This window comes from Homo sapiens, chromosome X, assembly GCF_000001405.40.
Source record: "Homo sapiens chromosome X, GRCh38.p14 Primary Assembly".
NCBI classification, from domain to species: domain Eukaryota; kingdom Metazoa; phylum Chordata; class Mammalia; order Primates; family Hominidae; genus Homo; species Homo sapiens.
Genome location: NC_000023.11, coordinates 13,684,667 through 13,711,406, shown reverse-complemented (window position 1 = coordinate 13,711,406; position 26,740 = coordinate 13,684,667). Strand labels below are relative to the sequence as shown.

At 41.1% G+C, this 26,740-nt stretch overlaps 1 protein-coding gene across 4 annotated transcripts, besides 4 other annotated features; it reads right to left on the bottom strand.

The window, feature by feature from the left end:
- RAB9A (RAB9A, member RAS oncogene family) lies at positions 903-22,279 on the bottom strand. Of its 4 annotated transcripts, none has more exons than XM_047442645.1 (3): positions 22,119-22,279; positions 7,505-7,672; positions 903-2,686 (listed from the first exon to the last, which is right to left on the bottom strand). In XM_047442645.1, the coding sequence occupies exon 3, from the start codon at positions 2,658-2,660 to the stop codon at positions 2,055-2,057; it is 606 nt and encodes a 201-aa protein (XP_047298601.1). In that variant the 5' UTR covers positions 2,661-2,686; positions 7,505-7,672; positions 22,119-22,279; the 3' UTR covers positions 903-2,054. The 4 variants fall into 4 exon arrangements, with proteins under 4 accessions (XP_047298601.1, NP_004242.1, XP_047298600.1 ...); NM_004251.5 differs by having other exon boundaries at positions 7,505-7,593; XM_047442644.1 differs by lacking the exon at positions 22,119-22,279 and adding an exon at positions 21,507-22,000.
- Positions 19,149-19,345: a silencer, noted in NCBI's record as "fragment chrX:13710181-13710377 (GRCh37/hg19 assembly coordinates)". NCBI's record gives its function as "represses an EF-1alpha promoter that drives an FKBP-Casp9 reporter gene in an ReSE screen in phorbol 12-myristate 13-acetate-treated (for megakaryocytic differentiation) K562 erythroleukemia cells {active_cell/tissue: K562(+PMA)}" and the evidence as "EXISTENCE:reporter gene assay evidence [ECO:0000049][PMID:32094911]".
- Positions 21,970-22,129: a silencer, noted in NCBI's record as "silent region_20668". NCBI's record gives its function as "represses an Ori minimal core promoter by ATAC-STARR-seq in GM12878 lymphoblastoid cells {active_cell/tissue: GM12878}" and the evidence as "EXISTENCE:reporter gene assay evidence [ECO:0000049][PMID:35858748]".
- Positions 22,140-22,379: a silencer, noted in NCBI's record as "silent region_20667". NCBI's record gives its function as "represses an Ori minimal core promoter by ATAC-STARR-seq in GM12878 lymphoblastoid cells {active_cell/tissue: GM12878}" and the evidence as "EXISTENCE:reporter gene assay evidence [ECO:0000049][PMID:35858748]".
- Positions 22,530-22,579: an enhancer, noted in NCBI's record as "active region_29444". NCBI's record gives its function as "activates an Ori minimal core promoter by ATAC-STARR-seq in GM12878 lymphoblastoid cells {active_cell/tissue: GM12878}" and the evidence as "EXISTENCE:reporter gene assay evidence [ECO:0000049][PMID:35858748]".

Genomic DNA, 26,740 nt, shown 5'->3' with positions numbered 1-26,740 from the left:
TCAGTCTCTGCTCTGCCCATGCTATTACCCATGTGCTTTAATTTTTCAGTCACTTCAACACTTCCTGGTTGACAGTCCAGAGTTCCAGAAACCACTGACTCTCCAGACACCACCTTTCACTGGGTACCACACTGGTGTGTTTTTCTACTTAACAAACACTTCACTACTCTACAAGACACGGATATTGTGTGAGAACTTGCATGGTGGTGTCACAATATTAAAATGAAAAGTTTGTACAGAAATATAAAAAGGTTTTCTTCTAAGACAAGTAATAGTAGGAATGTTTTAACTTCAACTAGGAAACTTTCCCCAAGGGTGAAAAATAAAAACATTTAGTCCATTAATGAATTGTAATTTTGTATCTTCCACACAGCACATTGTAATTGTTACATCAGTTAACAAATGCAGGTTTGTCTGTTCTCCAGTTCAGTAGTTTGCTTTTTTTTTTTTTTTTTTTTTTTTTGAGGTGGAGTCTCACTGTCACCAGGCTGGAGTGCAGTGATGTGATCTCGGCTCACTGCAACCTCCACCTTCCGGGTTCAAGTGATTCTCCTGCGTCAGCCTTCCGAGAAGCTGGGACTACAGGCACGATGCCCAACTAATTTTTGTATTTTTAGTAGAGACCGGGTTCACCATGTTGTCAAGGATGGTGTCGACCTCTTGACCTCCAAAAGTGTTGGGATTGCAGGCGTGAGCCACCGCGCCTGGCCTTGCCTTTTTTCTTAAAACCGAACTGTATCTCTGCTGGGGGCAGTGGTTCACTCCCTACATGACAGTCAGCTCCTCTCACCCAGCATGTCCTTTGATATCCCCATCACTCCCCAGTTGAGGGTCTCATCCACACTCAGTCTAGGCTTTGGTTAGCCTCCATAGAATCAGATAGTCACCAACCACACAGCATATGAACTTCATCCACAAAAGACCACAATTTGCTTTATCAAGTCTGATCACTGCAACAAGTCTTTTTCTAACAAAAAATCTCCTTGAGAGCAAATCACTAAATGTTCAGTAATAGAGAAGACACTAAGTAAATACATTGCCGAATAAAGATGTCTTCGTTTACCCTCTCACAAAGTACAATCCTTCTTAGTATTTCTTCTGAGAGTGATAAAGTCAGCTTGTGTCTTGTGTTATAAAGGAATGTTTTAACTTCAATTAAGAAACTTTCCCCAAGGGTCAAGAAAGTAACAAAAATATTTAGTCCATTAATCGAATTGTAATTTTGTATCTTCCACACAGTACATTGTAATTATTACATCAGTTATCAAATGCACATTTGTCTGTTCTCCAAGTTCAGTAGTTAGCCTTTTTCTTAAAACTGAACTCTATCTATGGAAAGGCTTTCCATTCATAGACAACTTGAATTTAGCTGGATGTATTACAGACTGTATGAAGCAACTCTTGTACCACTGGGGGCCCACCCTCCGCCTGAGACTGTGGAACATGATTTATGGGGGTGGGGGTGCATGAATGGCACACAAATGATGAGTAATTACTAGTGAGAGTAATTCTAGTATGTAGAATGAAAACAGGAATGGTTAAATCATTTTGAAGAGAATGAAGAAGTAAATTAACAATGCATTGCAAATACATTAGATTTTAATCTTTAATATCTAACATTATTGCTTTAGGAAAGTATTTCCCTGAACCAAGAATACAATGCTAATTGCATAAAAACATACACATATAAAAAGTAGTTCTCCATTTTCCCAGGAAAAAATCCAAGTATAACTTCTAGAATAGTCAAGTTTCTTATTTTTATTATAATTAAAGTCTTGGTCATTTCATTTATTAGCTCTGCAACTTACATATTTAAATTAAAGAAACGTTATTAGACAACTGTTACAATTTATAAATGTAAGGTGCCATTATTGAGTAAATATATTCCTCCAAGAGTGGATGTGTCCCTTCTCCCACCAACTAATGAAGCAGCAACATTAGTTTAATTTTATTAGTAGATGATACACTGCTGCAAACGCTAATTCTCTTCTCCATCCCCATGTTGATTTTGTGTATATGTGTGAGTTGGTTAGAATGCATCAACAATCTAACAATCAACAGCAAGATGAGCTAGGCTTGGGCTTTCGGTGAAGATTGACTGTGTCTGTCTGAATCAAATGATCTGACCTATCCTCGGTAGCAAGAACTCTTCGAACCGCTTCCTCAAAGGCTGCTGCCACATTTGTGGCATCTTTTGCACTTGTTTCAAAATAAGGATAGTCGCCGTTGTCCCTGCACCAAGCTTGGGCTTCTTCTGTAGACACCTGCCGTTCGCTTATGTCAATCTTGTTACCCAGAATCACAAAAGGAAAGCTCTCAGGCTCTTTCACATCTGCATAATATATGAATTCTTTCTTCCAGTTACTTAAGTTCTGGAAGCTTTGTGAATCATCGACACTAAAAGTAAGCAGGCAGCAGTCAGAACCTCTGTAAAATGGTGTCCTCAGGCTTCGGAATCGCTCCTGACCTGCCGTGTCCCAAATCTGCATGGTAACAAAATGTCCATCCACTTCCAAATCTTTATTTAAAAATTCCACACCTATTGTATGGAAGAGCTGGGTATCAAACTTATTAGTTACATATCTGTTCATAAGTGAACTCTTCCCAACTCCACCATCTCCAAGGAGAATTACTTTAAAAAGTGATGATTTTCCTGCCATTGTTAATCTCAAAAGCTTCAAGAACCCTGTAAAATAAAAAGGCACCATTACATTCCTTTATACCTACACATTCTTCTACATGATTCTACGAATATCAGCATTTAGCTGAAATAAAACATATGGCCCCAGGGAATACCTAATAATAAGACTTGTTGTTTACTGAGCACTTAGCCATGTGCAGGCTACTATTCTACCATTATTCTCTGAAACAGCTGGGAAGGGCTCACTCTTCCCTTTTCTCAGGTCACAGTTGACTGTGAAGCTGGCACTCAAGCCCAAGTCTGACCCCAAAGCCCTTGCTCTGAACCGTTACTCTATGATAAGCCCCTCTCTGCTCATAGTAAGCCCCACCATTTGTTAGAGATGGGTAGGAGACCAAAGTTCGCATGTTGTTGTTGTTGTTGTTTTGGTTTTGTTTTTTTTTTTGAGACAGGATCTCGCTGTCACCCAGGTTGGAGTGCATGGGACCATCTTGGCTTACTGCAGCCTTGAACTCCCAGGCTCAAGCAATCCTCCCACCTCAGCCTCCCAAGTAGCTGAAATCACAGGTGCACACCACCATGCCTTGCTAATTTTTCTATTTTTTTGTAGAGACAGGGTCTCAACCACGTTGCCCAGGCTGGCTTCAAACTCCTGGGCCCAAGCAATCCACCTGTCTTGGCCTCCCAAAGTGCTGGGACTACAGGCGTGAGACACCATGCCCAGCCCACATGTTTCTCTTAACAACTTCAAACAGCCCTTCAGTGCACAGTGATGGTGTTCACTTAAGGCCTCTCTCCTACCAGGGACTTTCTCTACTACTCCCTCCACCTCTCTTCAGACACAGGTGCTGTTAACCAGGAAAGCCAGAGACAGAAACTGACTTACCTGGCTGTGAAATAAAGTATGAACCAACCACTGAGTAAATGGACTTTATTCTCTTCATTAAGAACATTATTTTGAATTTGTTCAAATTAATGTCAGCAGCAATGGAATTTTTAATATAATCTAGCACATTCTATCCACAAGATTCACTTGGGCAGTTCAAACACTTAAGGAACATGAGACTGCTGCTACTTGTGTGTTTTCAGGTAGAATGAAATAAACCTTAAATGAAAATGTGGTACTATATGTGTTCTTTAGAAGTCCTGTGGCAGGATTAAAAACTTTACTACACTACAAGAGCCAGCCTGTGGGGGGTGAGATTTCAGATGCCCGTTGACAGACAGCTACTTCTAGGTGCTGGTGGGAGCACAGTTCCTGGTTAATCCTTCTGCTTACATTTTTATTGTGAAAAATGTAAAACATGTACAAAATTTCTATATAATGAGTACAATACAATGAGCTCCCATGAACTCTAAACCCAGCTTCACAATTATCAACTTATGGCAAATCTTGTTTCCTCCATAACCCCTCCAACTCTCCCTTCTCCCCAGTTATTTCGAATCAGATTATATCATTTAATCTGTACTTTAGTATTAAATGGTTTTTAAGTATACTAAAATGTATATAAGAAGATAACTATTAGAGCAGCACTGTACAAGAGAATTTTATGCAACAATGGAAATGTCCAATATAGCAGCCACTTAGCCGCATGTGACTGTGGAACACTTGACATGAGGCTGATGGAAGTGAAAAACCGCATTTTAAATTTTATTCAATTTTAAATAAATAGCCACATTTAATGAGCCAATTGGAGAGCACAGATCTAGAGCAAATTTGGTCAATAACCTTAATAGGAAAGTAGGTATTATGAATCCCTCCATGGGAAGGCAATAAAGACATGAACAATAATTGTTATATTGACCAGGATGAATTTGTAAAATCACTGCAGTAAACATTATCTGGCTGTCTCCTGGTTATATGCAATGTGAGCAACTATAGTGTAACTGAACACTTACTGTAACATGTAGGAATTCTGCACTTCTAGCCACATGCTCCACTGTTCTGATAAAAACCTTGTAGTGGCTTGTATAGTGAGAAATCAAGTGAATGGGAAATACTATTAAAAAATGATGGGACATACCTTAGTCCCTACCTCTTACTGGTTCTTTCAAATTACTACTACAGGCCAGGCACGATGGCTCACACCTGTAATCCCAGCACTTGGGGAGGCTGAGGCGGGCAGGTCACTTGAGGTCAGGAGTTCGAGACCAGCCTGGCCAACATGGTGAAACCCCGTCTCTACTAAAAATACAAAAAAAAAAAAAAAATTAGCTGGACGTGGTGGCAAGCGCCTGTAGTCCCAGGTACTAGGCTGAGGCAGGAGAATCCCTTGAACCTGGGAGGCGTAGGTTGCCGTGAGCTGAGATTGCACCACTGCACTCCAGCCTAGGTGACAAAGCAAGACTCCATCTCAAAAAACAAAACAAATTAATACTACAGTAATTACTACTATAATTAATATTAATACAATTTAAACTGTCCAACACAAGTGTGTGGCAGTTAAGGTGCATACCTTTTGAGAGACTTTTTCAATTTCAAATGTATTGCTCAATATCCAGACTATTAATGTTAAAGAGGAAACTGCAACAGTCCCAAGCCCCTTACTTTCCTGACATAGGTAACAATGTGCTAAATTGGCTGCTTTAATTCTTTGGCATCTTGCTTCAACAACTTAAAAAGAAAAGATTGAAAACCATAAAAGCAAACCAACTATTTTGACATAGGGGAACCATCTATCTAATGTCTCCTCAGAATTCTTCAGCGGGTTGTTTCCCAGAGATCCAGGACTAAGTCCAACTTCTAAGGCAAGACACCTGGCCCCTGCTCTTGGCCAGCCTCACTCTAGCCACCTTCCCCTCACAGTCTCTGCTTCAGTCATTCTGAATGCACCATCACCCGGAACTAAAATTCAATTCCACTCACTCAGCACACCCCACACCCTCTTGCCTCCACCCTGGCATATGCTGCTCCTTGCTGGTGACCCCCCCAATGAACCGCTGTGCCTTCAGAACTGCTTAGCATGGTCACCTCCACTGGGAACCCTGCCCCAGCAACTCTCCCAATGTTGTTCCTTTCACACAATTTCCATGTTGTGTTATGAGAGTACAACAGACATAATTTATTCCAGTATTTTAATAAGTCTCTACTGATCTAACAGCCTTACCAGACACAAAGTTTTACTGTACATCACTGAATTTTTAGCATCTTTATATCAAATTATAAGCCAGATCATGCAATCTAACAAACCCCACCCAGACTATTGGTTGCATATATCTACTAAATTAAGTTGTAGAAATTCCTTGAAAGTGGTAATTTGTAATTTTTCCAAGACACTTTGACAGTTCTTTTTTCATAATAATGTGGGACTTCTTAGTTTGTCTCATTCTGACCAAATGAATTTGGGGTATGCCAGCCCACCAGGAAACAGAGTATAGGGTACAATTTTTTACATTTCCCATCTACAGTTTGAGGCCTACCAGATATTCCTATTTGGGAATATATTTGCATTTGCTAAAATAATTAATTTCTACATGAATATCTCTCTAACTCTAGAGTTGTATAAAAACACACATGGTGATATAAATCATTGTACACACCATCTTATTTACCAGTGACATCTAACAAAAGCCAGTTTCATTTGATCTATACATTAATATAACCACAATCAGCTTATGGACATTAAAAATATTATTTTTTCTTTAAAAACAGTAAAATCCTTTGAAATTTCTTTAGTATAAGTTAAATAAATAAAGGGATCCTACTACGTTATTTTCAAAATTTGCCTAAAAAGGTAACGTGAAGTCTCTTATACTTCACAGTTTAAAATGACTGTCCAAAGGCAATTTTCACCAAGGTTAAACATTAGTAATTCTGCTAAATTCTATAAAGAAATCTGAATAAGGGGCCAGGCACAGTGGCTCATGCCTGTAATCCCAGCACTTTGGGAGGCTGGGGCGGACAGATCACTTGAGGTCAGGAGTTCGAGACCAGCCTGGCCAACATGGTGAGACCTCATCTCATCTCTGCTAAAAATACAAAAATTAGCCGGGCGTGGTAGCACATGCCTGTAATCCCAGCTACTCAGGAGGCGGAGGCATGAGAATTACTTGAACCTGAGAGGTGGAGGTTGCAGTGAGCCAAGATTGCACCACTGCACTCTAGCCTGGGGGACAGAGCTAGACTCTATCTAAAAAAAAAAAAAAAGAAAGAAAGAAATCTATATAAGAAAAGCATATTACATAGGTCATAAATTTTACCTTAATTTAATTGTTCAATTCAAGCATCATTATCTACATAAAAAAGTTAGAAAGCTCACCTTAGCAGTGTATGTTTTCATAATTTTAAGAGTAAAATGAAGAATTAAAATGTTAAAGTACAGTATCTGACTTCTATTAACAGCCAGATTCTTAACTTAAAAACCTGAATACTATCCATGACCTTTCTCAGCCCAAAAAAGTCATACAATCAATATTCTACTTTAATCATTGCATTTTTCAAAAAGTTTTTCATCTACCCATCTTCTTTTCTAAGTTTTATATTCAGAGATAGCTATGAAATTATATCAAGAGGAAATGTGTAATATTTCATTCATTCTTCAAAACTTGCCCAAATTTTCGGTGGCTCAGAATGAGTCATATTCCAGAGAATAAAATAAAGATAACACAAAAGGGAAGACAGAAAAGGGCCATGTGAGGGAGGGGCACCAACGTGATATAGGAAAGGTCAAGCTAAGGCTCAAGGTAGCCCACCTACAGGGCAGCCAAGGCAAAAATGAAAACGCTCTTGTTTCTGTGCAAATCAAAGCACACTGTCAGAAAAGAAAACTTCTTCCTGGCACCAAATGCCATGAGCACAGCCCCATGGACGAGCAATTTAACATCCTGAAGCCTCATGGGAACAACAGTGACAACAGTACCTACCTCCTAGGGTTGTTGAGAAGATGCACTCAAACGACACGGGAAAAGTGTTTCATCACAGTGCCAGGCTCATTACAGGAGTGCAAGAGTGTCTGTGAAATGAATACATGAAGAAGTCTTCACTGGCAGTTTTACAGACAGGTTCTTTCTATGGTCATGTCTTACATCAACCTTCAGTAAGGGCAACAGGCAGAACAAATTAGAGGATGATACAGGCCTACATTAGGAAGCTGAAGGATCCTAGTCCTACAGATCAAATTCAATGTCAAGGTCTCCCAGTGATCACTATGTGGAACTGTGCTAAAGTACTAGCCTCTATTGGTCTGAACCAAAGGTTTCAACCACTCTCCCCACCAACCACTTTTTAAAGCAAAGGGCATTTTTGTGGGACTTACATACAGCAGTCCTTAACTTATAAATTCAATCAATAATAAAATGAGACTTCAAAATCCTGACATTTGGGGTTGAAGATGAAACAACAACAACAGCAGCTAGCCTTGAGCCCAGTATGGTATGCAAGCTACAACACTGTGTTTATTCCTCACAAGTTTCTTAGTACCTATTACACATGACGATACTGACTCAGAGAGGTTACATACATGCTCAAGGTCACACACCTAGTAAAAGGTGGGAGTAAGATATGAACATGGCCGACTGACTCTAAAGCCCAGGCACTTAACCCACTAGGCTACGTCAATCCCAGCTGCCTATGCATCTGTTTCTGAGATTCTACTGTTGTTGCTGCAGGTAGAATGAAAATAAGCAATTGCAAATGGTAAGAATCTTTCAACCACTTGCTTTATTTCAAAATCTGCTCAAGAGCAAGGTTAACCTGACAGAACTAGTAATCTCCAATCTTACTGACATGTAGCATAAAGCACATGTGAGTGTCTATGCTTTATTAGAGTTTAAGTAGTTTAAAAAATGTTTTACATGAAATGAGTCAAATTTTGCAGAAGCTTACCATTTGGTAGAACGATTGGGAAAGGAATTTTTCAATAAGTATTTAGTGAGTGCCTACTATGAGCCAGACCCTGAGGATACAAGCCACACATACAGTCCCAAGTTTGTGACATCCACACAAAAATGCATTTAAGTCACAACTGTACCTCACAAAATGAGAGGTATATGGTACAAAGTACAACTATTCACACTCAACCAAAAATCGAAGAACACCTTAAAATAGTGCAAGGGATTCTGCCCACCATCTCCCTCAGTGAGTGAGACACACAATGTGTAAACCTGGGGCTCTCTCAATCACACTCAGATTCCCCATGCCACTATCTTACGGAGTTGCCTGAGTCCATGAGAGTCCAGCCACCTGGGGGACTTAATTTACATGCAAACATGATCCTGTAACACAGGCCAACTATTTCACTTGCTGAGCTACAGTTAAGGAAAAAGAGGTAACTTCTAATATCAGAGGTAAACTAGGCTGTGTTACACTGTGTTAATGAGAGACTGTACATCGGTTTCTAGTGTGATGTGTTCCAAAGCAATGTCTCCATGATCATTTTAGCCACGTGCTGCCATGAGAACACAGCCCTCACTAAAGTCTGATTCTGCTGGAGGGAGATTTGACCCAGGGGAAGTAGGTTTGACCACAGGCTAAGCTCAGCAGGAGAAAGAGAAAACTATGAGAAAAGAGGAGGGAGCAGGAACCAGAAAGTGGAACCAATCCATGCCAAAGCCCTGCCAAAGAAGCCTGGCCCTGGCATGAACTGGGAGAACTCAAGGTAGGCCTGAGCACCCGGAGGCTAGAGAGTGAAGAGTATGCTACAAAGACAAGACTGAAGGAAGAGGCCCAGGAGCAGGGAGGCGAGTAGAAGCCATGGAAAGGATTTCTGCCTGTACTCTAGGAATGATGGGGACCCTCTGAAATAGCTTCAGCAGTGGGTGACCTGGTCAGATAAGGAGTCCAGAAAGCTAACTGGATGCAATGGGAGAAGGGCTGTGGGTGAGGTGGGGAGGAAGGCCTTGGACAAGCTGGGATGGATGCTGCTATGATCCCTCTCCACTAACAGTGTCAGCTGGGCTTACGAATGAAAATTGAGGTGGTTATACCTCACACTTGATCCTCCAGTAAGATATTTACTATATGACTTCGTGTTTTACCTTGTTCACATTCAAATCCCTGGCCCTTTACCTGTCTAACTCCTAGTCAGCCGTGTGGATGCAGCTAGACCTCACCTCCTCCCGAACACCTACTGGACATCTCCAACTGAACCCCCTTCCTCGACACTCTTAACCATCCTGTGCGTGCCTCTACCATTTACCATAAGGAATTCTGTAATTGACATGCCTACTATGTCTAATAAAAGTGAAACATGCTCTCTTAACCCACATTACATGGATGTGTACTATCCAATTACAGAAATGTCCATACATTTCTGAGTTGTCAATGTTTTAGATTGCACCAAAAAAATGCATACCCATACTATTATCAAACCACCTTCCCCTAAAAAGAAAGACAATGTCCATCAATTAATGAATGGATAAATAAAATGCATCATACATCCATGCAATGTTGTAACGTAGATAAACCTCAAAAACATTATGCTAAGTGAAGGAAGTCAGAACAAAAGGCTACCTATTGTATGATTCCATTTATATAAAATGTTCAGAATAGGCAAATATGGAGATGGTAGATTCATGGTTGTCAACGGATGGGGCGGGGGGCAGTGGCAGGTAAAGGAGGAGGGACTGCTAATGGGTATGGGGTTTTTTTGGGGGGGTAATAAAAATATTCTGGAATTAGATAGTAGTGATGGTTGTACAACTCTGTGAATATACTATAAACACCAATCAACTGTATACTTTAAAAGGGTGAATTCGGCCAGGCGCCATGGCTCACGCCTGTAAACCCAACACTACGGGAGGCAGAGGCAGGCAGATCACTTGAGCTCAGGAGTTTGAGACCAGCCTGGGCTACATGGTAAAACTTCATCTCTACAAAAAATACAAAAATTAGCTGGACATGGTGGCGCATGCCTGTAGTCCCAGCTACTCAGAAGGCTGAGGTAGAAAGATCACCTGAGCCTGGGGAGGTCAAGGCTGCAGTGAGCTGTGATCACATCACTGCACTCCAGCCTGGGTGACAGAGTGAGACCCTACCTTGAAAAAAAAAAAAATTTTTACTGTATGTGAAAATATATGTGCAAATCTCCTGAGAATTAAAAATATGACCCTAGAATTAGATTTACACTACTAGAGCTACAAATGTTCTCCTTGTCCCTTCAGCAGCATCCCTTTAAATAAATCATTTACATGTACAACAGACACTACTTTAGGATTCCCACACCACGTGCCGGTACCAACATATGCTGTATGTGTCATACACTAATCCGAATGTAAAGTTGGATAAGCAGGTCACTGGCAGGAAAACAAATGAACCACATTGCCAGCAGATACGGCAAAATTCAAAAGACAAAAGAACATTTTATGTTAACCCTTTCCTTCTTATAACACTATTTTCCCAACTTTTCCATTATGTACTTTTATCTTATACTATCAATTGTTCATGAATAGTTTATCAGTAGTACCCTTTTCTCTGGCCTTCTCCAACCCCTTGCTGGCTTCCAAAGCCACATCCTACAATAAACCAAGGGGAAGAATAGAAAGCCTCAAGGTCCAAGCATCAAGAATTTAAATCTGCTGGCCACGCACGGTGGCTCATGCCTGTAATCCCAGCACTTTGGGAAGCCGAGATGGGCAGATCACTTGAGCCCAAGAGTTCAGGAACCAGCCTGGGCAACATGGTGAAACCCCATCTCTACAAAAAATACACAAATTAGCCAGGTGTGGTGGTGCCTGCTTGTAGTTCCAGCTACTTGGGAGGCTGAGGCAGGAGGATTGTTGGAGAGGCAGAGGTTGCAGTGAGCCGAGATTGTGCCATTGCACTCCAGCCTGGGTGACAGAGTGAGACTCTGTCTCCAAAAAAAAAGAATATAAATCTCTAATATGACTGTGTATGTGACTGAAGTTAGACTTTTTTTATTGGTCCTGGATCTAATTGTCTCCATTCTGACAGATAACTAAATTCATTTATTTATTATTTTTATTATACAGGATTTTGAGCATGGCATTCAAAGAGCTATTCAATGTCAGTTACAAGCCTGTCCCAATTATATCCCTACTACTCACCATCCCCGCACCTATCACTGGCATTTTCTGTCCATATCTTTGCTCGGGCTGTTACTTTGGCCTGGGAGGCCCCTCCCTACTTCGACAGCTATGACAATCTTAGTCATCAGAAGCCTAGTCCAGATTACCTCATGTAGGAAGCCAGGACCGCCCCAGCAACCTAATCTTTCTCTTTTCTTTGCTCTCATCATTTCCACCTCTTTACAGCTCTCATTTACTTATGCTCTAATCACCTTCAGTTGTGTATGTGTCTGTTTCCTAATTACAATGTCAACTCCCTGGGAGGGACACACAACACCTAATTGCATCCATTCACTTGTCCCTTTTTTGTTCTGCCACTTCTCGTACAATGCTCTACATTTGGTGAGGTGCAAATAAATGCTACATTGAGAACGAAGAGTATATTACTTCCTCTTTTATTCTTGTTATTCTATTATTATTCTATTTGTGCTTTCTGTACCTAAAATTCTTTGTTTCTCTATCAGTTCTCCCCGCATTCTATTTTTGAGGTCTATTAAAATGTGTGGGTAGGAACAAAAACATTGATTCTTACTTGCAATCCCAATGAGAATCCCACTTTAAAATAAGTACTATTGACTGACTGCGACAGGGAGCTGGCAAATGCTGAAAAACGACTACATTCCTTAATAAGCTGCCAAAGGGAGAGCAGGCATCATTTGTAAACTGCCTTCTCAAAACTTGAGATTTTAAAACACATACTCTGTAACCCCTCCAAAAACTTAAAATGAATTTATCACTCCTGGTTTAAATTTAGGAACAGATTTTTTTTTTTTTTTTGGTCAAATTCACAAGTTCCTTTGGATTCACCCTGAATGTCCTACTTAGAGGTGTACTTACCACTTCATTTCACTTCATAGCTTGAGGAAATGAGGTTCAAAGAAAACCAGGGAAACAAAAGCATGGATAATCTGAAAATTATTTCTATTTTTGCTGGAGCTGTATTTATTTCCTCATAGCTTAATTTAGGCGTGTCTCACTTAACAGCCTAATTGGTTCCACTGTTTGTTTCTAAAAACTTCCTGATTGTCTTACAGAAATTTATGAGCAAGAAGCAAGTCAAGGAAAGTCATTATGTCTAATGGGTACCAGCTCTACAGCAAGAAATTACCAAGAAAAATAAATAAAGAATTAAGAAAAATACTGTCAGAAAATACCATACTTAGTGTGCAGGAAGAAGCAAAAGAAAGAAAAGGAAATACCATAGGAATAGGCCAACTTGGAGGCAAGACCTGCCAAGGTGAAATAAATTATCTAGTCCTATCTAGTTAATCACTGAGCATTACCTCAAGAACAGGAGGCAGCTAGAGGAGAAAAACTGTATTATCAAACCATACTATCGCTATGTCAGAGCACCTCCCCTATTGAAAGAACTTATTTCAATTAAGTAACTTTTTTTGAAGCTGAATCAGCTAACTTAACTTTTAAGAAATATGTTAACATTTTTCTTAAAACAAGGCACCTCTGTAGGTATGTTAACTAATCACTAACAGTGGTGGGGGGAGTGGGAAAGGAGGAAGTGAGAAGGGCCAAAAAAAAAAAAAAAAAAAAAAAGAAAAAAAAGAAAAAGAAGACTTAGTTAAGGAACTAAATCTTAAACCATCATGAAACTATATAGTGCAGCAAAATCCAACAGACCCTTCTGCAATGACGACAATGTTCTATAATCTGCACTGTCCAATATGGTAGCCACTAATCACATGTGGCTACTGAGCACTGGAAAGTAGCTGGTCTAACTGAAGAACTGAATTTTTCATTTAATTTTAACTAGTTTAAATTGCTACATGAGGCTAGTGGGAACTGTGTTGGACAGTGCAGGCCTAGAGTGTGGTTAATTGGGAGTCCATGAAATGAGCTTCAGGGAGAAAATACACTCCCTAGAATCACATGTGAAATAAGGATGAGAGCATTGGTGGAAGCTTGTGTGCTTGCGCTTTTTTTCTGGAAAGAACAAAAAATGTTTCATCAGATCTTAAGGAGTTTGGACACCAAGAACTGATTGCTACATGCCTGCATCATTTGTATGTTATGTGTGATCCATTTCTGTAGCTCATAACACCCTTCAAGAGTTTCTGTCTTTAGCAGAATTTCCTCTTTTTCTCCCTCACCCATGAGACTTTTATGAATATCACACTTTGACCATAAACTGTGATAGTTCAGTGAACAGCCTTACTCATGGGAAACTGCTAGTCCTGAGAAGTGAGAATAATTTTTTTTTGTTTTGCTTAAGTTTTAAGAACCAAGCATAAATCTACCTGCGATGACACTTACCTGTAAAAGGTACTTACAATACTTTTTGACAATAGAGTGCACTTTGGAAGACAGAATTAAAATGCAAAGACATAGATAAAAGTCACAAGATGAGAACATGGGGAATTAAAGGTAGATATTTCAGGAAGAAAAACAAATTATGAAAGGAATGAATTTGAACATATATGTCAGAAAAATATATTAAAGCAGCAAAACACAAATCAAAAATGATCTGCAACGTTCTGCTATCACCTAAAGAAACATTGGTTCTGAGGCCTCCCTTCCAGTTCGATAAGAAACCAAATGTCTTTAATTTACAGCAGACAAAGCTAGGGGTTGGGGAACTATACAAACTCACTGAGTGAGGGGCTCCACAAGGCATGGAGCCACAGCAAAAGGAAACTTCTCGACTGTTAGAGAAGTTAATTACAAGGAGTGAGGATTTCCTAAGAAGATATATTTAAAGAGGGGCAGCTATGTCCGGTATATAGGACTCGACTAGACTAGAGGCTCCCAAATACCACTCTGCAGGGAAGTTGTCACCAGCTCAACACTGCAGGCAGCTCTTCATCAAGTTCAGTTTATCCAATGTAACTGTCACTTTGTCAATGATCCCCCCAGGTCTGCCCCTATCGAAGTGTTGAAACTGACTTTTCTCACAAAAAGCTTTCCAAGCCCAACCTCACTCTGCCCATCACTACCCATTTCTCAATGTGCCTGCAAACCTGATTAACTCTCTGCTCAGTTTATAGGACACCAGGGCTCCCACCCCATCCTTTCCCCCTGATTGTCAGCAAAAGTCACCAAAGACCTCCTAATGGCCAATCCAATGGCTTTTTCTCAGTCCTCATCTGAATGCCCTACGGCACATACAACCCTAAGGTGAATACAGGGAAAAGTTCTTCTCTCAGGACTTCATTGTGTATGTTTCTAGAAAACACCTGCAAGTTTGACCAGCATCTCCACCTGAGGCCCAGCTAGTATATAGTGAATTCTCTCAGGTGTAGCCATCTGTCTGAATGTGCATGAACTAAAATCTTGGAAGGGTACCCAAGTCTTTTTTCTTTTTTTAAAAGACAGAGTCTTTCTCTACCACCCAGGCTGGAGGGCAGTGGCATGATCATAGCTCACTGCAGCCTCAAACTCCCGGGCTCAAGTGATCCTCCCATTTCAGCCTCCAGAGTAGCTGGGACTACAGGTGCATACCACCAAGACTGGCTAATTTTTTTTTTAATTTTTTTTTTTTTTTTGTAATGACAAGGTTTCACCATCTTGCCCAGGCTGGTCTTGAACTCCTGGGCTCAAGCAAGCCTCCCTCCTTGGCCTCCCAAAGTGCTAGGATTACAGGTGTGAGCCACCGTGCCTGGCCTCAAGTGTTTTTTAAAAACAAATAAGGAAACAGGTCTAACTGGGAAAGTGTCTTACACAGGATCACACATCTAGCTAGAGGCACAGGGGAGACCTTCAAGTCTGAGCCAGGACTTACCACCCATTACTGCTTCTATCAGGTCCAAACAGCCTGGCAGTAATCCTCTTGAAAATGTTTCCTAATTGTCCATAAAACCACTCTGATAATAGGTTCTGCTTTCTCTCCTCCTTGGCCCCTTAGCTTTCTTCAACATAGACAGCTCCCTTTCCTGACAAGCTCTTCATGAAGCTATTTCACGAGACTGAAACCCTTACCTGTTTCCAGATGGTATCTCCCTGGGCTATAAAAACCAGTGATTCCTAAAGTCTACATCCGCATGTCTGAGCCAGACAAGAATTTGCAACCCCTTGTATAGTATGTTCATCTGGTACCCTGATGGTAGTTCAAATTCAACATATCTAAAACTGAGCTAATTATTTTCTCCATTTCGAAAATCTCTTTCTTTTCTCTTACGCACTTCATTCAGCCACACATGAAATATGTCCACTTTTCGCACTACCTATTGCTATTGCCTTGCTTGCTCAAATAATAAATGCTATGGCTGTAATTATATTAGCAGCCACTATTAACTGAATATCTACTAGGTACCTGGCATATAGCACCTTAAAATTACCTGCAAGTTGGACACTATCATCCATGTTTTATAGATCAATAAACAGAAGTCCACAAACTTCCCCAGGTCTAACTAAATAGGGCAGGTCAAGTATGTGTTATCTTCACTCCCACCCAGTGACAGAAAAGGTCTACGTAAGGTACAAATCCAAAAAGGACACCAAGAAAGAACAACTGTAGATGCAAGACAGCAACAAAATTTAGAAAGTGGAAAGCAAATGGTCCGGGAGTGACAGAGTGAAGAGACAATGAAACCTAATGCGGAAAGCAGCAGCCAACAATGAGAAAGCTGATTCCCACCAGAGAACTGGAAAAGAACTGAACAGCACACGGGCACTTCTCGAGACTTCTCCAGACAGGCCGGGTCCGGAGGCTCGAGGGGTCCCTGAAAGGCTGTAGATTCCATGACCCACATCCCTGTGCTACCCTAGCAGACCCACTTCCTAAGGAATTGCACCCAGCAGAAAATGGAGAGAAAGCACAAAGGAAAGTGGAGCTGGAGGGACGATTTGCACAGGAAACCTGAACTGCAGTCTCTTTCCTGTCTGTCCCTCCCCTCAGCTTAGCAACTAAAAGGGTAGCATCCCAAAACTGCAAAGCTCTGGGGGAAATGAGGGGCCCAAGGGAAAAGCTTACAGATACTGGAAGGGGGGATGGAGAATTAAAAACGGACTTTGATGCCTTTTCTCCTCACCACTATACCTTGTAGTCCATAAACTAGAGCCAATAATACCAACTTCTAATCCTGAGGTTCCCAAACTGCATGCTGAGGTGCCCCAAAGCATCACGGCAAATTCACAAGGGCAGGGTGGGCTATTTTAAATTTCTGAGGGAAACATAGATACTTGACATTTGTAGGGCACCCCACTGGAGGGGAGTTAATTAGATTGCACTGCATTCCTTTCGATGACATCATATCTTCATGAAGCTAGGTTTTCCAGGACTGCTGTGATAAAAATCAAGTACTGGGCACAAATTAAAGTGGATTATGAGGGTGGCAACTGTTTGCTCCCAAACAACTATTTTTAAATGTTATTTAAGAATACTAGCACTCATTCCAAAGAATGTTCTGCATTCACCAATGGGTAGTCCTCAGGCAGTTCTAATCTGACTTCCAACCACATTATGTATGTATTTCCAGGTATATACATCTGATCAAATACACAGGTGTGAAACTGCACAGACCAGAGCAGTCACCTAGCTGCATAAACACTCCTATCTGTTAGAGTTCTGCACAGCAAGTTGTAGAAACAGAGGTCTGTAAGGCTTTTTTTTTTCCCAGGTTTTTCTAACTCTGAGAACATAGACAGTCTTATGGGCACTAACCTTTTGGAAATTACCTTAGCTTCTGTACCCAAAAATCTAATCCAATTCACAGGAACTTGAAATTAAAATACAGTAGTCAGTTCAACTCCTTTATACTGTTTTGCTCTCTGTCACACTTGAATAAAGAATGTGGCAATGAAATGAATGTGTCCAGTTGTTCTATAGTGTTTCTCCATCCCCTGTCAAACAACAGAATATGTTTGTACGAGTCAGGCCTAAGACAAAAGTGGAGTCTGTGTCCACAGACTCCCAGAGAACTCCTGGAGAATGCAATGAGCTGGCTTCCATGCAGCCAGAATGTGAAGCCTGAACAGCCTGTTTCACTTCTCCATTTTTTTTCCAAAATACACACCCAGTCTCTCTCCACCTCAGGCAGATCTAGCTGTTACCTTACATTCATTTACACCTAGTCATCCTCACTGTATTCATAATAAGCAACATAATAACAACGCCTGAACTCACCATGGTCAAAAATTAACAAAAGGATTTGAAAAATCCAGAATGTGGAAATACCCAGAGCACACAGCTTCACAACATGCACAGTACCAAGAGTCATGGTGAGAAACAGAGATTTCTCCTCCAAGTTATCTAACTAGCCCTGGCACCCCTGGGCTCTCTGGCAACACGGCCTGGGACCGCCTCCGACCTCCCTCCCCTCTGCCTACACACCTAGGTGGCTCCACGTCTCCTCCCTCAGGCATCCTCGCCTTCCAATTGCATCATAGCTTTCCACCAAACTCCCTGAAACATTTTTTGAGTTCACCCTCACTCCTCTACAAAAAAGTCCTTAATAAATGTTCTCTGTTGATGGCCTACTTAGTCACAAATCCTATTCTCTTATGCTTGGTTCTGACTGAAGAGTCTATTATCTATACACCTTTCAAGTTAGATGCGTTGCCCAAACACACACACACTTCCATTTGGCTTACTTCCTCCTCCTGCTGCTTAACACATTGCCTGGGCAGAACTACTTGGAAGCTAATAATTTGCTGCCTCTACTTTGTGACATATAATCTCCTAGAGATTATGAAGCACAGCCATCTCATTTTACCCAGAAGGAAATGTGGTGACCTAAGTTGGCTGGAGGAGCAAGCCAATTAATGATCAAACAAGACAACTCTAGCACCAATTTATCTCGACCTTTCCCAGAATAAAACACGTCACTTTTGTTAGATTCCATGTGTATGCACTAGCAATCATTTTGAGGTGTGTAACTCAACATCCTCCCTACCCCACAGCAGACAACTCCTGATAAGAGGCAGAGAAATCTATTCATCAGCAAAGAACGTGCTGTGCATTGGCATGAGTCAAAAACCAAAGCTACCGACAAAAAGATGCCATGTTGATTGCGTGAATAACACTCAGTGATGCCTAAAAAGAGATGCGATCCTTTTTGACTGCTCCAGTCAACCACTCCCTCCCAAAGTTCACCTAACAGTTAATACTGCCACCAGAATGAAGCAGTACATATTTTGAAAGGCCTGATCTTAGACAGGCATGAAAAAGAGACCAGAAAACACCAGAAAGTTATGGAAAAGCCATTAAAAAATTCATCATTTCTTTCTCGATTCCAGTGATAAAATGCAGGCATAACTATTTGTCTGGTGAGGTGAAATTTAAGGATGAATTTTATGCTCAACAAGAATGGCTTCTCAATTTGATTCTTGTAAATATTCACACGTGGTTAACCGTACAAAACTATAACACACACATCAAGTTTTCCCCATTTTATTTAAGTCTGCCCACAGTAAACACCATGACACAGGTACTTCTGTGCCGAGTGTGGAGTTGTTTTCTTTAATTATTGTTATTTTTTTAGCGACAAGGTCTCACTCTATCGCCCAGGCTGGAATGCAGTGGTGTGATCATGACTCACTGCAGCCTTGAACTCCAGGGCTCAAGTCGTCCTTCTGCCTCAGCCTCCAGAGTAGCTGGGACATGCACCACCACACTGAGCTAGGCTAATTTTTTTTTTAATTTATTTTTTGTAGAGACGGGGGTCTCACTATGTTGCCCAGGCTGGTCTCAAACTTCTGGGCTCAAGTGATCCTCCTGTGTGGGTCTCCCAAAGCGCTGAGATTACAGGCATGAGCCACCACACTCAGCCTGTTTTGCTTTTTTTTCCTGTTTTGCTTTTTTTTAATGAACACCTGGCCCCTGTCCTTGAGTAGCCCAGGCAATAAATTCTGTTCTAGGATGATGTCAGAACCTAATCTTATGACTGTGATTGGACTGTAAGCTTCAGGAAGGTTGGGACTCCCCACCGCCCTTCTCATCAGCACCTTTGTATCAGTGCCCCACAGGCTGCTCAGACAACTGAAATAATGCAGAAACTAAACTTTCTAAGTCCACTTTAATGGCTCTGAATAGCTCTAAAGTTCTTTTTGTCATTTTTGCCTTACAACAAAAAACAGATTCTGCTACCAGAAATTATTTGGTCTTTTTTTTTTTTTTTTTTTTTTTTTTTTGAGATGGAGTCTCATTCTGTTGCCCAGGCTGGAGCGCAATGGCGTGATCTCGGCTCACTGCAACCTCTGCCTCCCAGGTTCAAGCGATTCTCCTGCCTCAGCCTCCTGAGTAGCTGGGATTACGGGCATCCGCCACCACGCCTGGCTAATTTTTGTATTTTTAGTAGAAACGGAGTTTCACCATGTTGGCCAGGCTGGTTTCAAACTCCTGACCTCGTGATCCGCCCACCTCGGCCTCCCAAAGTGCTGGGATTACAGGCGTGAGCCACCGTGCCCAGCCACTCACTCTTTAATCTTTCAAGTGAATATGCTTCTCAGTAGAGAGAATTTTCCCCTGCTCACTGTTAAAATGATGAGGTATCCCAAATAGGAAAACGACATTGCATTTGAAAAACTACAAAAGCAGTTGAAATGTAAGCTCTGGGGTTACTTGGACTGCTGAAAAGGAGGGTTTCTCAACCGTGGCACTAGTGACATTTTGGGCTAGACAACTCTGTTGTGGGGGGCTGTCCTGTAGGTTATAGAATGTTTAGCAGCAAAATTTAAAAATTAAATAACAAAAATAAAAATAAAAAAGAATGTTTAGCAGCATCCCTGGCCTCTACCCACTAGATGTCAGCAGCACCTCCCTTGCCCCCAGGTGTGAACCAAAGATGCCTCCAGGCATTGCCAAATGTCTCCTACGAGGACAAAATTGTCCTCTCTTCCAGTTGAAAACTACTACTCTAAAATTACCCAGACCTGCTTTGAATCCCCGCTCCACCCCATCACAACCTGGGTCATCTTGGAAAACAGACTGAACCTTCCTATGCCCCCCCAAATTCCTCAACTGTAACATGGAGCTCTTACTGAAGAAATGCTATGGAAATTAAATAAAATGATGTACGTACAGGATTTACACGTACGGAATATTCGCCGCAGAGTGAGTGCTCAATAAATGGTCAGAAATGAGGGGAGGCTAAAAAAAAATAATTTCGAGAACTCAAGGATCTTCTCTTTAGGCCTCCAGAGTACTGTAGTCCAGACAGAAGAAATGGTTGAGATAGAAACAAAAAGAGATGAGAGAGGTTGGAAAAGAAGTGATAGCACTAAGGTATTATTTCCCTTATCTCTAAAACCCGGCTTGGAGTCAAAGCCAATGATGTTCTACTTAGTGTTTGCCTATCTACTCTAACATTCCAAATAATAAACGAAAAAATATGCCCAGATCCCAAAAGTCTCCAGAAGAGAAACTTTGTAGTATAAACGAGGAATTTACCACAGCAGACACAAAAATACTAAAAGCACCAGACTGCCACAGCATTGTCTTAGATTTAGGAATCCAAATAACTACTAAAGTTCTAGAGAAGCAATCATGATAACTTCATAATCTTCTAAAGGAAAAACTAAAGGCTGGCTTCTTAAAAGTTCCTAACTGAATCGTTCCAGGTTTCTTTATCTCTAGTTTTGCTACACTGGACAGCTTCTGAGAGTACAGGCAATGTAGGGATTTTCCATTACAATGGTGCCAGAGACCGAAGGACAAACACATTTTTAAAGAAGCAATCAAATTCTGCCCATTGATTTTTATCAGGACGCTAAAATCCTATGAAAAGATTGTGGTCACGTGCCGATTTGGAAACTAGCAGAAAAGTTATTCCTCAAAAGAACTGTAGTCACGAGATGTGTCATCCCTTACCAAAAAAAAAAAAAAGCAATACGTCCACCAACTATTTATTAAGTTCAGCACTTAAATTTCTCATTTTGCCTTTTTACTTACCAAGTTGGAAGAAAAAAGGGAACGCGATTGTGAAACGTTAGCCAGCGTCTGAATCAGATAATGCCCCCAAAACGCCTGCAGCCTCTAAGATTGGCTTTACTTTCCGAATTCCTCACCCGAGTGGTCGTAAGACATCGAGCAAACACGTTCTGCTAGGTGGAACTTCAGAGGTCGCCAAAATCAAGTCATGGGAGCGCCTTTGTTTTCCCTACATTAATCATTCGGGTGTAGGATTTGGTTTGGGGTCTGTGGATGTGTGTCCCGGAGTGGTTGGGGGAAAGGCTGGCGTGTACGTGTGTTCCCAGGTGACCGGGTGTATTTCTCCGTGTGTATGTGCACGGGTGTCCGGGCTTTTGTATCTCCCTTTCTCCAGTGTTTGTGTGTGTTTCTGTGAGTCCCTCTCCCCAAGGGTGTGGGGACCGTCTTTCCTCCTGCGTCAGAGAGGAGGCAGGGAGACAACCAGCCGTCCTCTCTCCCGGGGCGGCCTTGTGACCCGCGCTAGCCCCGCGCGCACCGCACCCCGCCCCAGCTGCCCGAGGCCCGAGCCGCCCCCTCAGACCCCGACACCCGCGCACTCCGCCCGGTCCCGAAGGAGTCCCGAGTCCCGCTCACCTCGCGGCCACACGAAAGACGACCCGGGAGCTCTGGGCCGGCCCGTCTGGGCGCAATGAGGACAGAGAGAGGGTCGGGGACCTGCACAGCAGGAGGCAGCCGCGGTAGCGCAGCCAGGCTCCCGCTCCAGCTGCTCCCGTCCAGCGCGGAGGGAACAACATGGCGACGGGCCGGGGCGGGGCCAGGGAAAAAGCGGGGCGGGGCCTGGAAGGCGGGGTCCCGCGGCCGAGACCCTGGGGGACGGGCGCGGGGAAGGTGGAGCCGAGGCAGGCGGGGCCTGGATCGTGCTTTTCCTTCGGGTCGATTGCTCCTGAAGTGTCCTCCCGTCTGCGTTCGGGCGACAGCGAGTACGAAATAACTGTCATTTTGAAAAGTTTACGTAAAGTGGAAATAAACAGACCTCATGAGCACAGTCACAGGATGTCGTGATTACAATGATAAAAACGACTAGTCAAACGGACAAAGAACAAACAGGTGGATGAAAAATGAAAACAGTTGTGATACTGTGGAAAAACAAGAACTTTTTAAATGAAGCTATTAAAACTTTCCTTTAATCTTGTTAAAATACTGCCTCTGTCATCTCTGAATAGAAAGCGATGGTGCAAAAGGTGGTATTGGAGAAGCTCTCCTTAAGTCCTTGCTTTATGTATGAAGTTGAGTGCATGGATCCTATGATACAGAACCCTACAGGCGGGAGGGACTCATAGGGACATCTCAATACGTTTTGTACGGTGATTTAGTTTGTTTATCAGAAAACCAAATACTGCGTGTTCTCACTCATAAGTAGAAGCTAAATGATGAGAACTCATGGTCACATAGAGAGGAACAAGAGACACCAGGGCCCACTTGAGGGTTGAGGGTGTGAGGAGGAAAAGGAGCAGAAAAAAACTAGGTATCAAGTACTATGCTTATTACCTGGGTAACTAAATAATCCGTACACCAAGCCCTTGCAACAGGCAGTTTACCTACATGACAAACCTACACATGTACCCCTAAACCTAAAATAAAAGCTTTTTAAAAAAGATTTAGTCTGTTTATTTTCCAAGACAAAGATCTCACTTTTATGATGCTGGGGCTCACAACAAGTTAAATAATCTCCAGCTTTTTGGGGAGTCATTTTCAGGTAATGACTTTTCATTCAGCACTAGAAAGGTCATGTTTGAGAAAGTTCCTCACAAATTAAAAAGGCAATTTTAGAATGCTTCTGAAAACGACACATAAGCTTAAATAATTGTTTTCTCATAAACAGAAATCTATTTCTTATCTGCAGGTCATTTCCCCAAGGAAATATGTATAAACGTTTATAAAATACAAATCTGTTAAATTGGGGGGAAGAAGAAATATACACTATCTTGTTTTAAAACACATATTAAAAGTACACAGTAAAACATTATATATGAACACTAGAGTTAATTTTCCAATAGAAAAAAAAGTCATGTACATTGGGTCAAATTGCAACAAGCAATCCACAGGGTAATTAAAGAAATGCCACCTGAAAATCGTATATCCTAACCATAGTCAAGGAGTGATCAAATAGGAGTTTATCTGTGCAACTGCTAATGCCAACTAGCTATTAACAAGTGATCTCATAAAATTATTGTATTTTGAGTTAAAATAAACCTTGACAAACCCAACAGCTTTCATAAAAATGTTCTAAGAAGGTTCCATAAGTGACTCTCAGGCTGTTCCAAAATGTAAGAAGGCATTCAAACATATTTGAGTGTAGCTTATAGTACCTTAAGAAAGAATAAGCTTAGAAAGTTACTTTCTCTAAAATTACTATCAGTTGGATACTAGCCAACTGACATTTAAGAAAGTTAGTATATTCTGGTCTCTTCCACCATTCACTTCTTAACCACATTTCTATGTCAGTGCAAGAGTAAAGTGGGTTAAAAGATTTTTCTCTGAAGGGCAAGTTTGGGGGATTTTTGTTATTGGATGTGTGTGGTTGGTAAGCTGATGCAAGTTGGATAGACAGTTGCTATCTCTCTTGCTCCATAAACTTGTTCCTTGATGAAAACATTAAAGAACTAACCTAGTTTGACTCCCTTCATCTAACGAAGATTTTCATCTTTATATTCTGTAAACACCAATGCATCACTCACGGGAGAGAAAGAGGCCAAAGTTGCTATGCATAAATGATTCTTTTACTTAAATAACACCTACTTATTACTATAAGTACTAGGAGTTAATACCCCATCTCAAGCTGGAGACTGAAAGAAATCACTTCTGGCATCTCTGATGAAAAGCTACAAGTGGCTGGGCGTGGTGGCTCACGCCTGTAATCCCAGCACTTTGGGAGGCCGAGGCCGGTGGATAATGAGGTCAGGAGTTTGAGACTAGCCTGGCCAACATGGTGAAACCCCGTCTCTACTAAAAATACAAAAAAATTAGCTGGGTGTGGTGGCGTGCGCCTGTAATCCCAGCAACTCAGGAGACTGAGGCAGGAGAATCACTTGAACCCGGGAGGTGGAGGTTGCAGTGAGTCAAGATTGCGTGCCACTGCACTCCAGCCTGGGCAACAGAGTAAGACTCTGTCTCAAGAAAAAAAAAAAGCTACAAGTAAGTGGGCCCTAGACTCGGGTACAGTAAATACTGATGATAATTGAACTGCTTTTATTTTCACATACAAGGAAAAACACAGAACTCAGTTGTAGACCATTTCACCATTATATTACATATGTAAATAGTCACAAATTTGATATTTTTCCTAAGTTGTTTGGCCAAATAACAGATTTGGTCGTAATACTGCATAGATGTTCTTCTATAGCTGTACTAAGAGGGGGAAAAAGCATAAAATATACATAAAAGTAACTCAAAATTTGTTATATTTGGCTTTAAAGTCAAGCCGGAGTGAAAATTCATAACAACATATGTTAAGTGAAAAAGAACATTACCAAATAGTATATGGAAGAAAAATCCCAATTTGGTTGAGGAAGCGTTTTTTATAATATATAGCTTTTCAACATATATTGACGTATTTAATAATGCATTTATTTATATACTTACATATTTATATAATATATACATCTTCAATATTTTATACCAATGTCACACTTACCCAGTTTGCCTAGATACTAAGTTCAGCATGTTTCTTGCACTAATATAGAACTTTTGATAGTGATTCTTAAGTCAGATAAAATTTCAATGTATAAGGAAATGCCAGAAATTGGATTTCTTCACTGCTCTGCTTAAAAAGGAGTTCTCAAGCAAAAATGAATAGGAGCATCATCCTTAATCCATATATCACCAGTGAGCAAATTTCAGAATTTCCAGACTCAGATTGATGTAAGCAAATGAAAATTCTGGCCCTCAATCAAATAAAACATATATTCTTTCATGAGTCCCATGAATTCTATCCAGTGGACACTGTCAAATGGCAACCTGGGCGTCAAAAGCCATTGCCATGCTTCCTTCTGTCAACCTACACACTGTCAGAAGGGAGGTGGGCATGGCAGGCAGGAGCCAACACAACTCACGCCTCTCAAGTTTGTGGGTAACCACCACGCTCACCCAAATCCCTCCAATGCCTGCAGCATAGACACATGTTTACTGTCTCTTCCCTTGGGTGATTTTAAGATTTGCAGGAAATGAAAAGTCAGTTCATGTTAATACTTATTTATTCAACAAATATATAGTGAGTGTGTACACTGTGCTAGGTGCTGAGAATACAGAGTAAATAAGACACAGGAGGAATTCAGGGGGCGTCCCCAGCCACCATCCCCTTCTCTGAGGACAAACACCCTCCTCCACATTTTGGCTCCCATCCACCAGTTTTTAAAAAAATGTTATGTGACTTTTTCTTGGTGAACAAAATAGATTCAGTTCCTTTTCTAGGAGAGCTTAGAGAAGATTGGAGGAGACATTCAATAAGTAACTAAACAAATGTGTAGTTACAAATGGACTGCAGAAAATAATCAAGGTGCAGTAGGTGGGAATATAGGGTGATGATACCAGAGAAGGCAGGAATGAGGAGGTGACTCATGTCGAGCCCTAAGAATGAGCAGGCAGCAATGGGAAGGGCTGTGGAAAGAGTAGTACAAGCTTAGCAAACAAGGTCACAAATAACTTAGCACATAGCAGCTTTCAATAAATCTTTCTAAATAAAGAAAACAGGCGAACTATTATTAAATTTTCATAACTGGTGGAAGAACTTAAAATTGTAATGCTTTCTCTAGCGATGCAAGATCTAATGTATTGTCTTAAGAATAATATGTGTATGTTGAACAGTGCTGCACTTTCTCAACCACACTCTAAATATAGCTTAACTCAGTTAATTAAAAAAAATGGCAAAATGGAACAAGCATTAAAATTCAGGAATGAAGTGAGGAATTCAATCCCTTTGCTGATTTGCTGATGAACATGAGTCAAAAACTGAACTTAACCTTTAAAGGCAATGGAAGGAAAATCGCATACACATCATGGTTACAATTATGTAAAAAGTATATGTGTGTGTTTGTATGAGTGTGTATATATGAGTGCTTATATACAAAAGAATGGAAGACAGCAAGGAAAATCAAAGCAGTTGAATTATTATGGCAGTAGGATTCTAGGTAATTTTTATTTAAATTTTGAATTCCATGTTATATTATTATTTTGGGAAGTAAGTGGAAGTTTTTCAA

Bases quoted from the DNA above. Each gene is read 5' to 3' on its own strand.
- RAB9A (XM_047442645.1), bottom strand. From the start codon at position 2,660: ATGGCAGGAAAATCATCACTTTTTAAAGTAATTCTCCTTGGAGATGGT.